Below are 14537 nucleotides of genomic sequence, written 5' to 3'. Positions count from 1 at the left end.
GTTACCCTATATGGTCTAAAAGTGGGAGGAACTCTCACAGCAGCGAATTGCCCATCCCTTTCCTGGAAAACTCATGAATAATCCAATCCACCCCTTGTTTAGCACATAATCAAGAAGTAACTATTAATGTAAGTATACTCAGCTGAGCAGCCCATGCCACTGCTCTGCCTATGGAGTAGCCATTCTTTTCTTTCATTTTTTGTTTCTTTTTCTTTTCTTTTTTATTTTTAGGGATTGGGGTCTCGCTATGTTGCCCAGGCTGGTTTTGAACTCCTGGGCTCAAGCCATCTTCCTGCCTGGGCCTCCCAGCAGGTGTGAGCCACTGTGCCCAGCACTTTTGTTTCTTTACCTTCTTAATAAACTTGCTTTCACTCGGCTCTATGGACTCACCCCAAATTCTTTCTTGCACGAGGTCCGACAACCCTCTCTTGAGGTCTGGATTGGGACCGCTTTCCGGTAACACTTCTGTTTTGATTGTGCTTTTCACATTTTCTGCATTAAGTGTGTATTTATTTTGTATAAAGTCAGTCATAAAAAAGGCCAATATTCAACAATGACATTAACTTCCCTGTCAATGCTGACTGTATGATACCATTGCCAGAGGACCTTCAACCCACCAACCAAACACCACTAGAACAATGGATGCTTCTCACCTGCTGGCCGGCAAAAAACCCCTGAGCACTGGGACATTTAAAAACCTTCCCAGTGTTGAGAACCGCTGTTCAGTAATGGTTGGAAGGATATTCATAGTTCTTTCATTTTTGAAAATCATTCCTGCTGGGCGTGGTGGCTCAAGCCTGTAATCCCAGCACTTTGGGAGGCTGAGGCAGGCGGATCACCTGAGGTCGGGAGTTCGAGACCAGCCCGACCAACACGGAGAAACCCCGTTTCTACTAAAAATACAAAATTAGCCGGGCATGGTGGCGCATGACTCTAATCTCAGCTACTCGGGAGGCTGAGGCAGGAGAATCGCTTGAACCCGGGAGACGGAGGTTGCAGTGAGCCGAGACCACGCCATTGCACTCCAGCCTGGGCAACAAGAGCGAAACTCCGTCTCAAAAAAAAAAAAAAAAAAAGAAAAAATCATTCCTACAATATGTGTTTTAATTACTAAAGGAAAAAAATGTTTCTCATGATACTCCTGACACCAAATGCATGGGGTTTTTTTCCCCTCATACTAACAAATTTTCCAACTCTCTGACACCAACTTTGTGTCTTACCATTTAATTCAATTCTGACACTACCCGGAGTTCACACAGACCCCACAGGTTAAGTACCCAGTCCCACAAAACTGCCCACTTACAACTTCAGATGCCAGTTGCAAGTCAGGGGTCCCTGGGTGACTCACGCTTCTGTCTGACTTGGCTACAAACCAGACTTCCATGTCCCACTTAGGTTCCACCTTTTGCTCTAGCCCCTCACAGCGACGAGAGTGAAATCAGCTGGTGACCATTGAGCAAACCCTGGAGACAAAAACTCCTTATCTGAGGAACTTAGAAGGGAGCAAAGACACCTGGTGACTATCAAACAGCCAAAACTCCTTATCTGGGGAATTTAGAAGTAATTAAACTTCCCTAGTATCTAAAGTCAGCTTCTGGTTCCAGGCCTTTTTCAACTTAAAATGTATAAGTAACTAGAATTTCTATACATCTCCAGAATGCCATGCGGAAACTCAGTGTGCAACCCTTGCTGACATTAAGGCACCAAAATGTCTACAAATGTAATCATTTATCATGACCTACAAGGCTAATATGGCCCAAATTACCCTTCAGCTCCTGCCTTAAGGTCCATAAATACCCCTAAGAAAAAAAAAGCAGTGTGGGGTGCGCTCAGTCCTCTTTCTGAGATGCCCCGCTGCACTATTCTGCAGTATTCTTTCTTTCTAACTTTCTTTTTTTGAGACGGAGTTTTGCTCTTGCTGCGCAGGCTGGAGTACAATGGCGCGATCTCAGCTCACCGCAACCTCCGCCTCCCGGGTTCAAGTGATTCTCCTACCTCAGCCTCCCGAGTAGCTGGGATTAGAGTCATGCGCCACCATGCCCGGCTAATTTTGTATTTTTAGTAGAAACGGGGTTTCTCCGTGTTGGTTGGGCTGGTCTCGAACTCCCGACCTCAGGTGATCTGCCCGCCTTGGCCTCCCAAAGTGCTGGGATTACAGGCATGAGCCACCACGCCTGGTCTTCTTTCTTTTTTCAAACCTATACTGTTGTCAGTAAAATCTTCCTACCAAACCAGGAGTCAACTACTTTCTGATGCCAGGGTTCTGACACCTCACCGGCACACAGAACTTAGGGAAACACTTTGCTATTGCCAGATTATTATAAAGGATATAGTGAAGACAACAAATGAACAGTCAGATGAAGAGGTACCTAGGGGGCGGTCGGGAAGGATCCTGAACACAGGAGCTTGTGTCCCTGTGGAGTCTGGGGTGCACCACCCTCCTGGCACATGGATATATTCAACCTGGAAGCTCTCCAGACCCCGTCATCTAGAGTGGTTATGGAGGCTCCGCTACGTAGGCATGCTTGATTAAATCATTGGCCATTTGTGACTGAACTCAATGGCCACCTTCTCTCTTCCCTCCCCAGAGGTCTGGGAGTGGGACTGAAAGTTCCAACCCTCTAATCACATGGTGGGTTCCTCTGGCAACCAGCCCCATCCTCTAAAGTGGACTCAGGTGTGGTGGACTCAGGTGTGGTTGAAATGCTTATTATGAAGAACAAAAGACACTCCTCTCACCCCATCACTTGGAAAATTCCAAGGGTTTTAGAAGCTCTGTGCCAGGAATTGGAGTTAGAACAAATACATATTTCTCATTATATCACAGTTACAAAACTCTATCATTATGTATTTTTGGTAGTCTATAAAAGTACAGTTTTTAAAGTCCTCTCATTATCATTTATTCAACAAATATTTATTGAGAATCTAGATTATTCCATTTGAGTCTCACAGTAACCTGTAGGTCGGTAGGAGTGGTATTAAGTTCATTATACAGAAGAGACATCCTAGATTCCACAAAATGAGGCAGAAAATTAGGCAGCATCTGCTAAGAAAATTCTGAAGGCCACCATCTAATCATCCTTCAGAAGTTGGGCTGACAAGGGTTCAGAGCTTCCAAATCTGGCACAGAAAGACACAGCCTTGATGTGCCATTTCTCAGCTGATTCTGAATTTTAGCAATAATGCCCTACAAGAAGAGATGGCTGGAGCCAGTTGTAATTTACCTGCTGTCAAATGATTCTGTCCTTCATAAAATGCTAATTATTTGGAAGACTGTTTCTCTTTGAATATTGTAGATATAGATTTTCAGGGTACCTTTCCTATATAATTGTCATTATTTTTTAAATGTTGACATACCTAGCACACTTTTGGAAATAGGCATTTTTAAAAGATTTTATTTTTTTTAGAGCAGTTTTATGTTTACAGCAAAATTGAGTAGAAGGTACACAGATTTCCCATATCCCCACCCCTGCCCTGCATATGCACTGCCTCCCCCCTTATCAACATTCCCCAGAGGGTACATTTGTTACCTTATCACCCAAAGTCCACAACTTACCTTAGTCCCAAGTGCTGGGATTCTATGTGTTCACTCTTTATGGTGTACATTCTATGTGTTTGGACAAATTTATAACTACATAGAACTCATTATGCTATAATACAGAGTATTTTCACTGCCTTAAAAATCCTCCGTGCTCCACCTATTCATCTCCCTCCTCCCCAACCCCTGGCAAACCGCTGATCTTTTTAGAGTCCCCATCGTTCGGCCTGGGCATGTTTTTAAAGTAATGAAGCATTTCACCATTGAGTGTCCGGAAAAAAAAAGGAAAGAGAAGGCTACTTATACTAGATATCGAATTATGGTTGTATGTTTGGCATGAATAATTTTTAATTGAAAATAATCACAATGTTTGTCTAAATCCTAGCGCTCAAAGAAACAACCAGATCTGGTTTTGAAACCAAGACTGCCCTGTTGGTGATGAGGAAGTCAACTGCGCAGCCTCAGTCGCCCGTGGAGGCCCCGGGCTGGCGGCCGTGACGTTGCTGCCACCTCGTGCATATTATCGGTAGTGCAGCCAGCGAGGAGGCCTCAGCCACGCCGAGGTAGCAAGCGCTGGCCAGCTCACTTTGATGGTCTTCAGCTTAGCTCACGTATTGCCTAGGAACACCAGGGGCCTGTGCAGTTTATTATGTGTTTGTGGTGTTTATTAATCCACAGAAATATTGTTTTTGATAGACAACCTAAGATAAAGGCTAATAAAAGACTGAGAATGTGGACTCGATAATTTTGTTGGCTTCAGGATAAAGAAAAAAAGTCAGTAAATGGTACCTGAATCCTCCAATAATTACTCCATCTTATAAATTACTGTTTTCTCTTATTCCAGCCCACAGTCTGTCATTCTAGAAAGTATGATATATTAATTTTTAGCTAAGCAATATCCACAGGGAGTAATCAGAGTTGGCACTGTACAGGTGTTTTTCCAATGAAAAGGTTACTGTTGGAATTATTTATAAGCAACATCAGAACACTGAATATTAACAAACTGAATTTCACCTGGTTATTAAGTAGCAGGAGATACATATGCACCAAATCATCCCGCTTTGACCTTGAATGGTTGTATGTTTATCCAAGAAAGAAGCTCCCCCATCTTCAATGTGCTATTAACCTTCCTTTTTGTCCTTTTTCATTTCTTCCCTTTTAAATTTTATTGTAATGAAATAGTTAAGTCCTACACAAAGGTGTAAACCTATGATACTGATTCTACTTGACTCTGCCACTCAGCTTGGGAAACGCATTACCATCCAAACAGGTGAAGCCTTTGTGCCCCCTCAGCTGTATTCCCTTCCTTCTCTTTACAGTTTCCACTTCTCTAAATTTGGTGTTCATCATTCCCATTTGTTTCATTACGCTTTTGCCGATACATATGTGTTCCTAAACGGTACAATGTACGGGTTTCACGTTTCTGAAACGCTGTTGAGATGGTATCCGTGTTTTCTGTAACTTGGATTTTTTTCTTTCAGTATTAGGATTGTGAGACCCATCCATCATATTAATTTCCCAGAATTGTCGTAGCAAACAACCACAAACTGGGTGACTTAATAAAACGAAAATTTATTCTCTCAGAGTTCTGGAGGCCAGAACTCTGAAATCAAGAGGTGGGCTGGGCTGGGCTCTCTCTGGGGCTCTAAGAGAGAATGTGTTCCTTCCTTCTTCCAGCTTCTGGTGGCCCAAGGCATTCCTTGGCTTGTGAATCTCTGTTTCTGTCTTCACATGGCCTCCTGCTCTCTGTTGTGTCTTCCTGTCTTAGAAGGACACTTGTCATTGGATTTAGGGCCCACCTGATCCAGAATGATCTCACCTTGAGGTCCTTAATTACATCTGCCAAGCCCCCAGGCAATACATGGTGGAGGTAGGTGTCCAACCCATGCATTTTGACCAACTCCTCCAACCACTGGATGACATCGCCTCTAAGCTCAGAAAGCTGCAACTTCTGCTTACACAAATAATGGGCATTTAATGTGGCACTGGATCCAATACTCAGCTTATATAGGTGAGAACTAACTAGTATTGGAGGGTTACAGGGCAAGGAATTGGGCATAGGTTGGGAAGGCAGGCAATCTGGGTCCTAGAGTTAATTCTCTGTTGATCCCTAAGCTCCAAGAAATAGGATACTGCTTCATCCCTGCTCCTCTTCCAAGCCACTTCACCCGATTTAACAGGAAGGGAGGTCAGTGAAAAGAACTAACTGGGTATGGACTGGAAATGCACAATAAAAAAATTTTAAAATATATGCATTTCTTTGGATTACTAAAGTAAAAATATTATAGAAAATTTGGGTAATGGAAGAAAAAATCATCCCCACCCACTCCTCTAATCCCTCTACTTCTCTTCTATACACACTTAAAGTTGTAATCATTTGATTTTAGCGTTATAACTATGGAGACAAAAGTGGATCCCTCTTAGATGCTAACCTGTCCGGTTGATTTCTGATTAGCTCCAGTCCCGTGAATGCCTCCTGCTTCCTACTTTATTTGCTGTCCTTAGTCTAAGAACATGTCAACTTTGATGTTATCACACAAATTATAGGACATGACGCACAGCCTTCTTGCCTGTTCAATAACAGTGCAGAGATCTACCTGTCTTGCTGCTGCCCAAGACCACGCTTCTGTCTGTAAGTTCCCCAATAAAATACCCTTTACTGACACACTGGATTTGTTGGCCACCTTCTTTGGTTTCTTGGCTCTTCAGCATTTGGGAGCAGCTTTGCATATATGGCCATTTCACAGAACAATAGCCTACGATATATTACCATTTTTCTTCTTGCTACATGGCTTTCACAGTTGATTTTCTAAAATAAGACAAGTACTGATATACAACATGGTGACTGAGACAGCCAAGGAGTGCGCACTGGGGTGGAGCCTCCGGAATTTCGCCCCATTTGCAGGCAGAGAGGAGCTGGCCTCTCCGGTTCCAGGGTGGAACCTGGAATTCAATCTGTGATTCTGGAAAACCAGCTAGCAGGACTCTCACTCTGCCGAGAGTCCGTTTCCCTTTTTTTTTTTCCTTTTTGCCTAATAAATTCCATTTTTCTCATCCTCCAAATTGTCTGTGAACCTAATCTCTCATGGCCATGTGACAAGAACTAGGCTTTCAGCTGAACTAAGGAGAAAGTCCTATAACTCTAGTTAATGATATGGTATTGTGTACTTAAAACTTGCTAAGACAGTAGATCTTACGTGTTCTCACTAAACACACACACAAGTGGTAGGCTTTGTAGGTGATGAATGTGTTAACTAACTTGATTGTGGTAATCATTTCACAATGTATAGTATATTGGTCATCACACTGTACTCCTTAAATATATATAATTTTGGCCAGGCATGGTGGCACACATCTGTAACCCCAGCACTTTGGGAGGCTGAGGCAGGAGGATTGTTTGCACCCAGGAAGTCAAGGCTGTAGTGAGCTATGGTTGTGCCACTTCACTCCACCCTGGGCAACAGATCAAGACCCTATTTCAAAAAAAAAGAAAGAAGAAAGAAAGAAAAAAAAGAAAGAAAGAAAGAGAGAGAGAAAGAAAGAGAAAAAGAATATATATATATATAGTTTTATATGTCAATTATGCCTCAATAAAGCTGGAAAAATAAAATGACAGGTATTCTAATCTTTACTTTACAGCTACAGAAACTAAAGCTCAGGAGACTGACTTGCTGAAGGTCCCACAATTAGTAAGTGATAAAGCTGGGGACCATGAAGCCATTGTAATTCAGAATGTATAAAATGTTGCAACTGCTGCAAGATTGTATTTCAATATGTGGATTTTTTTTCTTTCTTTCTTTGGAGACAGGGTCTTGCTCTGTTACCTAGGCTGGAGTGCAGTAGCATGATCATGGCTCACTGCAACCTCAACCACCTCGGCTCAGCAATCCTCCCACCTCAACCTCCCAAGTGGCTGGAACCACAGGTATGTGCCACTGCACCCTGCTAATTTTTTAATTTTTATAGAGATGGGATCTCACTGTGTTGCTGAGGCTGGTCTTGGTCTCAAACGATCCCATCTCAGTTTCCTGAAGTGCTGGGATTATAGGTATCAGCCACTGTACCTGACCGATAATGTGGATATTCTGAGTAGGCATTTGCATATCAATATCTGGTTACCTGTTGCTGCATAACAAATCACTCTAAACTTTGTTCCTTAACATAATGACTGCATTTATTTTGCTCATTAATTTGTAATTTGGGCAGGGCTTGAGAAGGACAGTTTGTCTTTGCTTCTCTTGGCATCAGCAGGGGTGATTTGAGGCTGGTGGCTGGAATCATCTGAAATCTCACAGGTCAGCTAGTTGGTGCTGGGAGCTCAGCAGGGCCTATGGCCACAGCCCCTCCACTTGACCTTTCCATGGGGCTCCTTGGCTTTTTCACACAGTGCTGGCTGGGTTCCGAAGGTAAACATCCCCAGAGAGAAGAGAAGAAGGCAAAAGCTGTGTCCCCTTTGGTGACCTCCTCGGAGAAATCTTACAGATTCACTTCTGCCATATTTTATGGGTTAAAAGTTAGTTGCTGAGGCCAGCCACGATTCAAGGGAAGGGGAATTAGGCTCTACCTTCTGCTGAGAAGAATATCATAGAATTTGTGGACATATTTTAAAATCATCACAATTTGCCCGTTGGACATACATTACCTACATTTTCCCCTACATGCAAAGTAGACTCACTCCCCTGCCCTAAACCCCTTAAACATTGTATCTCCTGTAGCATCAGGCTGGGGCTCAAGGTCCATGATCTTGACATATAAATCAGGTGCAGGAGTGGCTGAGGCTCCTTGGGTGCTGTTCCTGGAGTAGAGCCCCTGCAGTGCAGTTCCTCTCCACCTGAAGACTTGGGAATCAAAGGACAAGCTGCCTCTCTGCTCACTGCACCCAATATATTGTACAATAGTGGAGCAAGCACAGGATAATCGCTGCAGACGCTTCTGTTCAAAAAGGGGGGAAATGGGAGGCACACAGCAGCCACTGGCGCACAGCGATTCTGAAATCCAGCTGAGCGTATGTTGCCAGTTCCTTGATAGGGCTTGGTCCTACACCTGGAAGTTGTCCACCTTGCTTTTGGCTCCACCCACTGCACTCTCGGTCCCACCTTCTGAGCCATTCTTTCTTTTCCATTAAAAGTAGCCCATGTTGGGCTGGGTGCAATGGCTCACATCTGTAATCCCAGCACTTTGGGAGGCCTAGGTGGGCAGATCACCTGGGGTCTGGAGTTCCAGACCAGCATAACCAACATGGAGAAACCCTGTCTCTGCTAAAAATACAAAATTAGCCAGGTGTGGTGGCGCGTACCTGTAGTCCCAGCTACTCGGGAGGCTGAGGTAGGAGAATCTCGCTTGAACCTGGGAGGTGGAGGTTGCAGGTGTGCCGAGATCACACCATGCCACTCCAGCCTGGGCAACAAGAGCGAAACTCCATCTCAAAAAAACAAAAAAAAGAAAAAAAAAAAGTAGCCCATGTTTGCAGCTGAGTGACAGTCTTTTTAGATTGCTTCCTGCTCTTAGAAGCCTGGAATCCAAAGGCCTGAATGTCCCTTTCACTCCAAGCTAATTCTAATTCTTTTAAAATATGTATATATAGTCTTCTTATTAATCAATTTATAACTAACTCCATTAGGCAAAACCCATACCAATAAATCTCCTTTAGCCCTTCTCTCCCTTCTCCTAAAGCTGCGGTCCAATAATTCCCTTGAGATCTGTAGGCCTTTCAAGCCAGCAATGGTGTGTTGAAAACAAATAAAGAAGGAACAAACAAACAAACAAAAAAGTTGCTAGGCCTTTTGTCTGCTTGAAAGGGCCTATGAAACAACACCTTATGGACTTTCTGAGGTCTCAGCAAAGAGTCTTATAGTCATGCCCAAAAATAAACTCACTTTATTTTTGAACCATATTTTTCTTTATTTTTTTTTTTCCCGAGACAGGGTCTCATTCTGTCACCTAGGCTGGAGTGCAGTGGTGCTACCTCCTCTCATTGCAACCTCCACCTCCCGGGTTCAAGCGATTCTCCTACCTCAGCCTCCCGAGTAGCTGGTACTACAGGTGCACACCACCACACCTGGCTAATTTTTGTTAGTAGGAACAGGGTTTCTCCATGTTGGCCAGGCTGGTCTCGAACTCCTGATCTCAGGTGATCCACCCACCTCAGCCTCCCAAAGTGCTGGGATTATAGGCGAAAGCCACCTCACCCAGCCCTCAAATTGTAGATTCATGAATAAATAGATGTTGTTACTGTTTTAATTTATTAAATTTTGGGGTGGTTTGTTATGCAGCAATAGATAACTGGAACAGAGTTTGGTAGCACAGCAAAAACTGCTAACGTGTGGCAATGGCTTCAGGACTGGGTGGCAGGCAGAATTTGAGAGTCTTCAAGAGACTGTTAGTGGAAACCTCATGGTTCTTGAAGAAGTTATTGGTTAGGGCTTATGGGAAAGCGAGGAAAATGTTACTGAGAGCTGTCATATAGCAGCAAAAAGTTTAGCAACACTGTCACCTGTGGTAACATGGAGAATAGAAAATATACCAAGTTAACTGAACCGTCTATCTAAGGAGATTTTTGGGAAAAGTGTTGAAGAAGCTGCCTGGTTTTTCTCACTGAGTATAGTAAACTTCAAGAGAAAGAGAGAAGTGAAAGAGAACTGTGAAATATAGAGGGGCCAGGAATTGCTGGGTTTGAAAATAAAAGTTTCTCCTTTCTAGCTTCTTCATACGGCAAATGAAATGGCTTCCCGGTGAAGATTGAACCCAGGAGGCAGAGGTTGCAGTGTGGTGAGATTGTGCCACTGCACTCCAGCTTGGGCGACAGAGCAAGACTTCGTCTCCAAAAACAAAAAAAAAAAATTTGGAAAGAACTTAGAGGGGACGGTTTATCTCTGCTCAACTCAGTGTCAGCTGGGGTGGTTCAAAGATTGGGGGCTAGAATAAACTCAAAACTCACTCATTCACGTGTCCGGTTGGCTGATGTTGGCTGTTAGCTGGGAGCTCATGCAGAACTGTTGTCCAAATATCAACACGTGACTTTTCCATGTTGATCGGGTTTGGCTCTTTGTCCCCATCCAAACCTCATGTCAAATTGTAATCCCTATGTGTGGAGGGAGGGACCTGTAATCCCCATATGTTGAGGGAGGGAGGTGATTGGCTCATGGGGTTGGTTTCCCCCCATGCTGTTCTCATGATAGTGAGTGAGTTCTCATGAGATCTGATGGTTTTATAAGGGGCTTTTCTCCACTTTGCTTGGCACTTCTCTCTCCTGCTGCCATGTGAGGAAGGACGCGTTTGCTTCCCCTTCTGCCATGATTGCAAGTTTCCTGAGGCCTCCCCAGTCGTGTGAATTGTGAGTCAATTAAAACTCTTTCCTTTATAAATTACCCACTCTCAAATATTTATTTATAGCATGTGAAAATGGATTAATACACATGTAGTGTTTGATTTCCCCATCAAATGACAAGGTGGTTGGGTTCCCAGAGCAAGCATTGCACACGAGAGAGAGAGAGAGAGAGAGAGAGAGAGAGACAGCGAGCTAGGAAACCTAGTCCCTGAAGTCGCATAGTATTGTCTGCTGCCTTCCTGTTTTGTTTGTTTGTTTTAGAGATGGGGTCTTGCTCTGTTGCATAGGCTAGAGTGCAAGTGGCAGATCATAGCTCAGTGCAGTCTTGAATTCCTGGGCTCAAGCGATCTTCCCACCTAAGCCTCCTGAGTAGCTGGGACTACAGGTGTGTGCCACCATGCCTGGTTAATTTTTATTTTATTAGTAGAGATGGGGTCTTGCTATGTTGGCCAAGCTTGTCTTGAACTCCTGGCTTCAAACTTGGCCTCCCAAAGCGCTGGGATTACAGACACGAGCCACTGCACCAGTCTTGTCTTCGATTCTTTACAAGTGAGTCACTAAGCCTGGCCCATGTTTAAGGAGAGGAGAATAGGGTTCTATCTTTTGATGGGAAAGAGTGTCAAAGAATTTGAGGACCTGTTTTAAAACCACCAATATTAAGGTATCCTTAGCTCCATTTTATAGATGCATAAGCTATAATTCAGAGAACTTGCTGAAGTTCTCACAATTAGTAAGGGATAAAGCTTGGGACCATAAAGTGACTGTACTTTACATACTTAAATACATTATATATAATGTACAATCTGTAAGGCAATGTAAAGCTATGACATGTTATTAATTGTCTCAGTTGAGCTTTCCTAGCTTCTTGACACAAGGAAGGGAGCCCATCAGGCATGTGGGTTATGAATCAAGAAGCTTTATTATTTTTTGTATAATAAAATATGAGTTTGTTTTGTTCATAAGTGTTCTCTTATCAGATCAAACTCTCATAATGGCTGGAAACACCTTCTGTCCTGATTTCAGAGCATATAACTAGGTTCTATATTCCTATCAACCCTCTATCTAACTTAACATACAACGTACCTTTACCTTGCTAGCCCTATGTTTGGCTAAGACAGCTGAGCTGAGGGGAGCTCTTTGACATTGCATAATATGGAGCTCTTTGGTCTCTCACAAAGAAAAAATGTGCTCACCAACTTTTGCTCAAAGGTATTTTTGGCTTTATAGTTAAATTTCTGGTTAATGATCAGTTTTGCTAATTGAATACCTCACATTTCTTTTGGTTAGATGGCATTTATCTGTATCTGTGTGTATATGTGTTCAAATGTGAGTGCATATCCTCATGGGAGCATGTTTCCAAATAGTTTGCTTTCTAATTGTTTGTTACTAACAGCCCTTTGAATTTTCTTAATGAGCACTTTGTTGTACAATGAGGAAAAACAATTAACTGCACAAAATTTTTGTGCGATCACAAAAGACAATCAAATTATGATATATCAAAAACAAAATAGAGCAAACCATTGTGCTTAGCAATGTATGGAAATATCTTCTGAGAAGCAAACAAATAACTTTTCCGGACACTATGGTGTTTTTTATGATCATGTTTAGTTTATGTCATCTTTTTCATGGAACAAAAACCAGTCTCTATGGCTTTTGGCCCATAGTCCCCATATCTTTTAAAACCTGTGACCTTAACCACTGTGTACAGTATTAGATCTTCAAAGGTGTTTTGCTCAACCTCTCCTTCTCTTGCAATAATAGCAAACACATAAACACTAGTACGGATTATTGTTGCTAGAAAAGAATAATGAATTGTACATTGTGGTAAATAAGGTATTTAAAACACCATGTTTGGGAATTTACCACCGTGATCTGTAATTTCTCTTATTGCTTTTTGCTCAGGGTTTCATCCCTCCTCCCTGCCCTCCAAGCTAATCTGGGCCAAGTGGATTCTGTTCTGACCCATCTCTAACTCTTTACTCAGTCTATTCCTTACCCTATTTTGCCTTTTTTTCTTTTCTTTTTTTTTTTTTTTTTTTGACATAGAGTTTCACTCTGTTGCCCAGGCTTAAGTGCAGTGGCACAATATCAGCTCACAGCAACCTTCGCTTCCTGCCTCCCGGGTTTAAGCGATTCTCCTGCCTCAGCTTACGGAGTAGGTGAAATTAAAGGTGTGTGCCACCACACCTGGCTAATTTTTTGTATTTTTAATAGAGACTGGGTTTTGTTATGTTGGCCAGGCTGGTCTTGAACTCCTGGCCTCAAGTGGTCGGCCCGCCTCAGCCTCCCAAAGTGCTGGGATTATATCTGTGAGCCACTGTGTCTGGTCCCATTTTTGCCTCTTTTGTCACTTTTACAAAGCCTACTAACTGTCTCTCTTTTTTGGAGCCCTCGATACCTAGATTACAAAGGTTTATTCCAGTTGTAAGCCATGAGAATTGTAGGTAATTCTGTGCTGAAGGATGGAAATGGTGTATGAATTAAACTGGCTGCAATAGTCTATAAAATAACAGATTCATAGCTTTCAGCATGAGCCCCAGGCAGTGCCTAGGAGCAGTGCACACAAGACATCCTCAATCACTAATTGGTGAGTGAATATAAAAGGACCTGTTTTTTGTAGCAGATGGAGAGATTAAGCGGCTTGCCCAAGATTACACCCGTGGACCATGATAGAGTTCCTACAAGAATCCAGATTTTTCTGTTTTGTCCAGTTCTTACAAGTATATACTGCCCAGCTTCCAGTGATTGCATGACCTTCGGAAGACTTGTAAATGTTTATGTCTCTGCGATCTGGAGATTAACAATGCTGCAAAGCAAATAGTCCCTCAGGCCATTCCGGTATCTGACCAAGTTAGGATCTTGGCAAATGCTTTAGTTCCTCTTTCCTGGTGTTAGGAAAACATTTATTTCAATTATAAATATATTATCTTCAATTTCTTGATAAATTAGACTAAGCAAACATTTGGATGATGTCAATGAGGCAGACGGGATTCCGATAATACATGTTTTTCTTAGTACAAAAGTGATACTTAATTATAGAAAATACAGAGAAAACAAAAAGAAGAAAATGAAAAATGCCCATTATCCTACCATGTCTCAAAGATAACCATTTTTTAACATTATTTTATTTTATTTTACTTTATTTTTTGAGACAGAGTCTTGCTCTGTCACCCAGGGTGGAGTGCAGTGGTGCGATCTCGGCTCACTGCAAGCTCTGCCTCCCAGGTTCAAGTGATTCTCCTGCCTCAGCCTCCCAAGTAGCTGGGATTACAGGCCCGCACCACCACATCTGTCTTTTTTTTTTTCCTTTGTACTTTTAGTAGAGACAGGGTTTCACCATGTTGGCCAGGCTGGTCTCTGACCTTAGGTGATCCACCCACCGTGGCCTCCCAAAGTGCTGGGATGACAGGCATGAGCCACCACACCAGGCCAAAGATAACCATTATTAACTAATTAACTATTTGGTATATTATGCCTCCAGTTATTTGAAAGTGTATGCACATTCACATTTACAAACTCTTTTATATTCAATTTCTTTCACTTAATATTTTATGAACATATTTTCATATTGCTAATTATTCACTTGAACAATATAATTTTTGATGACATAGTTTTTGTATAGTGTAACTTTGTATTTGGCCATTCTTTATTAGACATTGTTTCCAAATACAA

General features: G+C 42.5%; 1 annotated feature.

The window, feature by feature from the left end:
• Positions 10234-10405: a silencer, noted in NCBI's record as "fragment chr2:172424417-172424588 (GRCh37/hg19 assembly coordinates)". NCBI's record gives its function as "represses an EF-1alpha promoter that drives an FKBP-Casp9 reporter gene in an ReSE screen in K562 erythroleukemia cells {active_cell/tissue: K562}" and the evidence as "EXISTENCE:reporter gene assay evidence [ECO:0000049][PMID:32094911]".

This window comes from Homo sapiens, chromosome 2, assembly GCF_000001405.40.
Source record: "Homo sapiens chromosome 2, GRCh38.p14 Primary Assembly".
Taxonomy (NCBI): Eukaryota; Metazoa; Chordata; class Mammalia; order Primates; family Hominidae; genus Homo; species Homo sapiens.
This window is presented reverse-complemented; position numbering and strand designations above follow the sequence as displayed.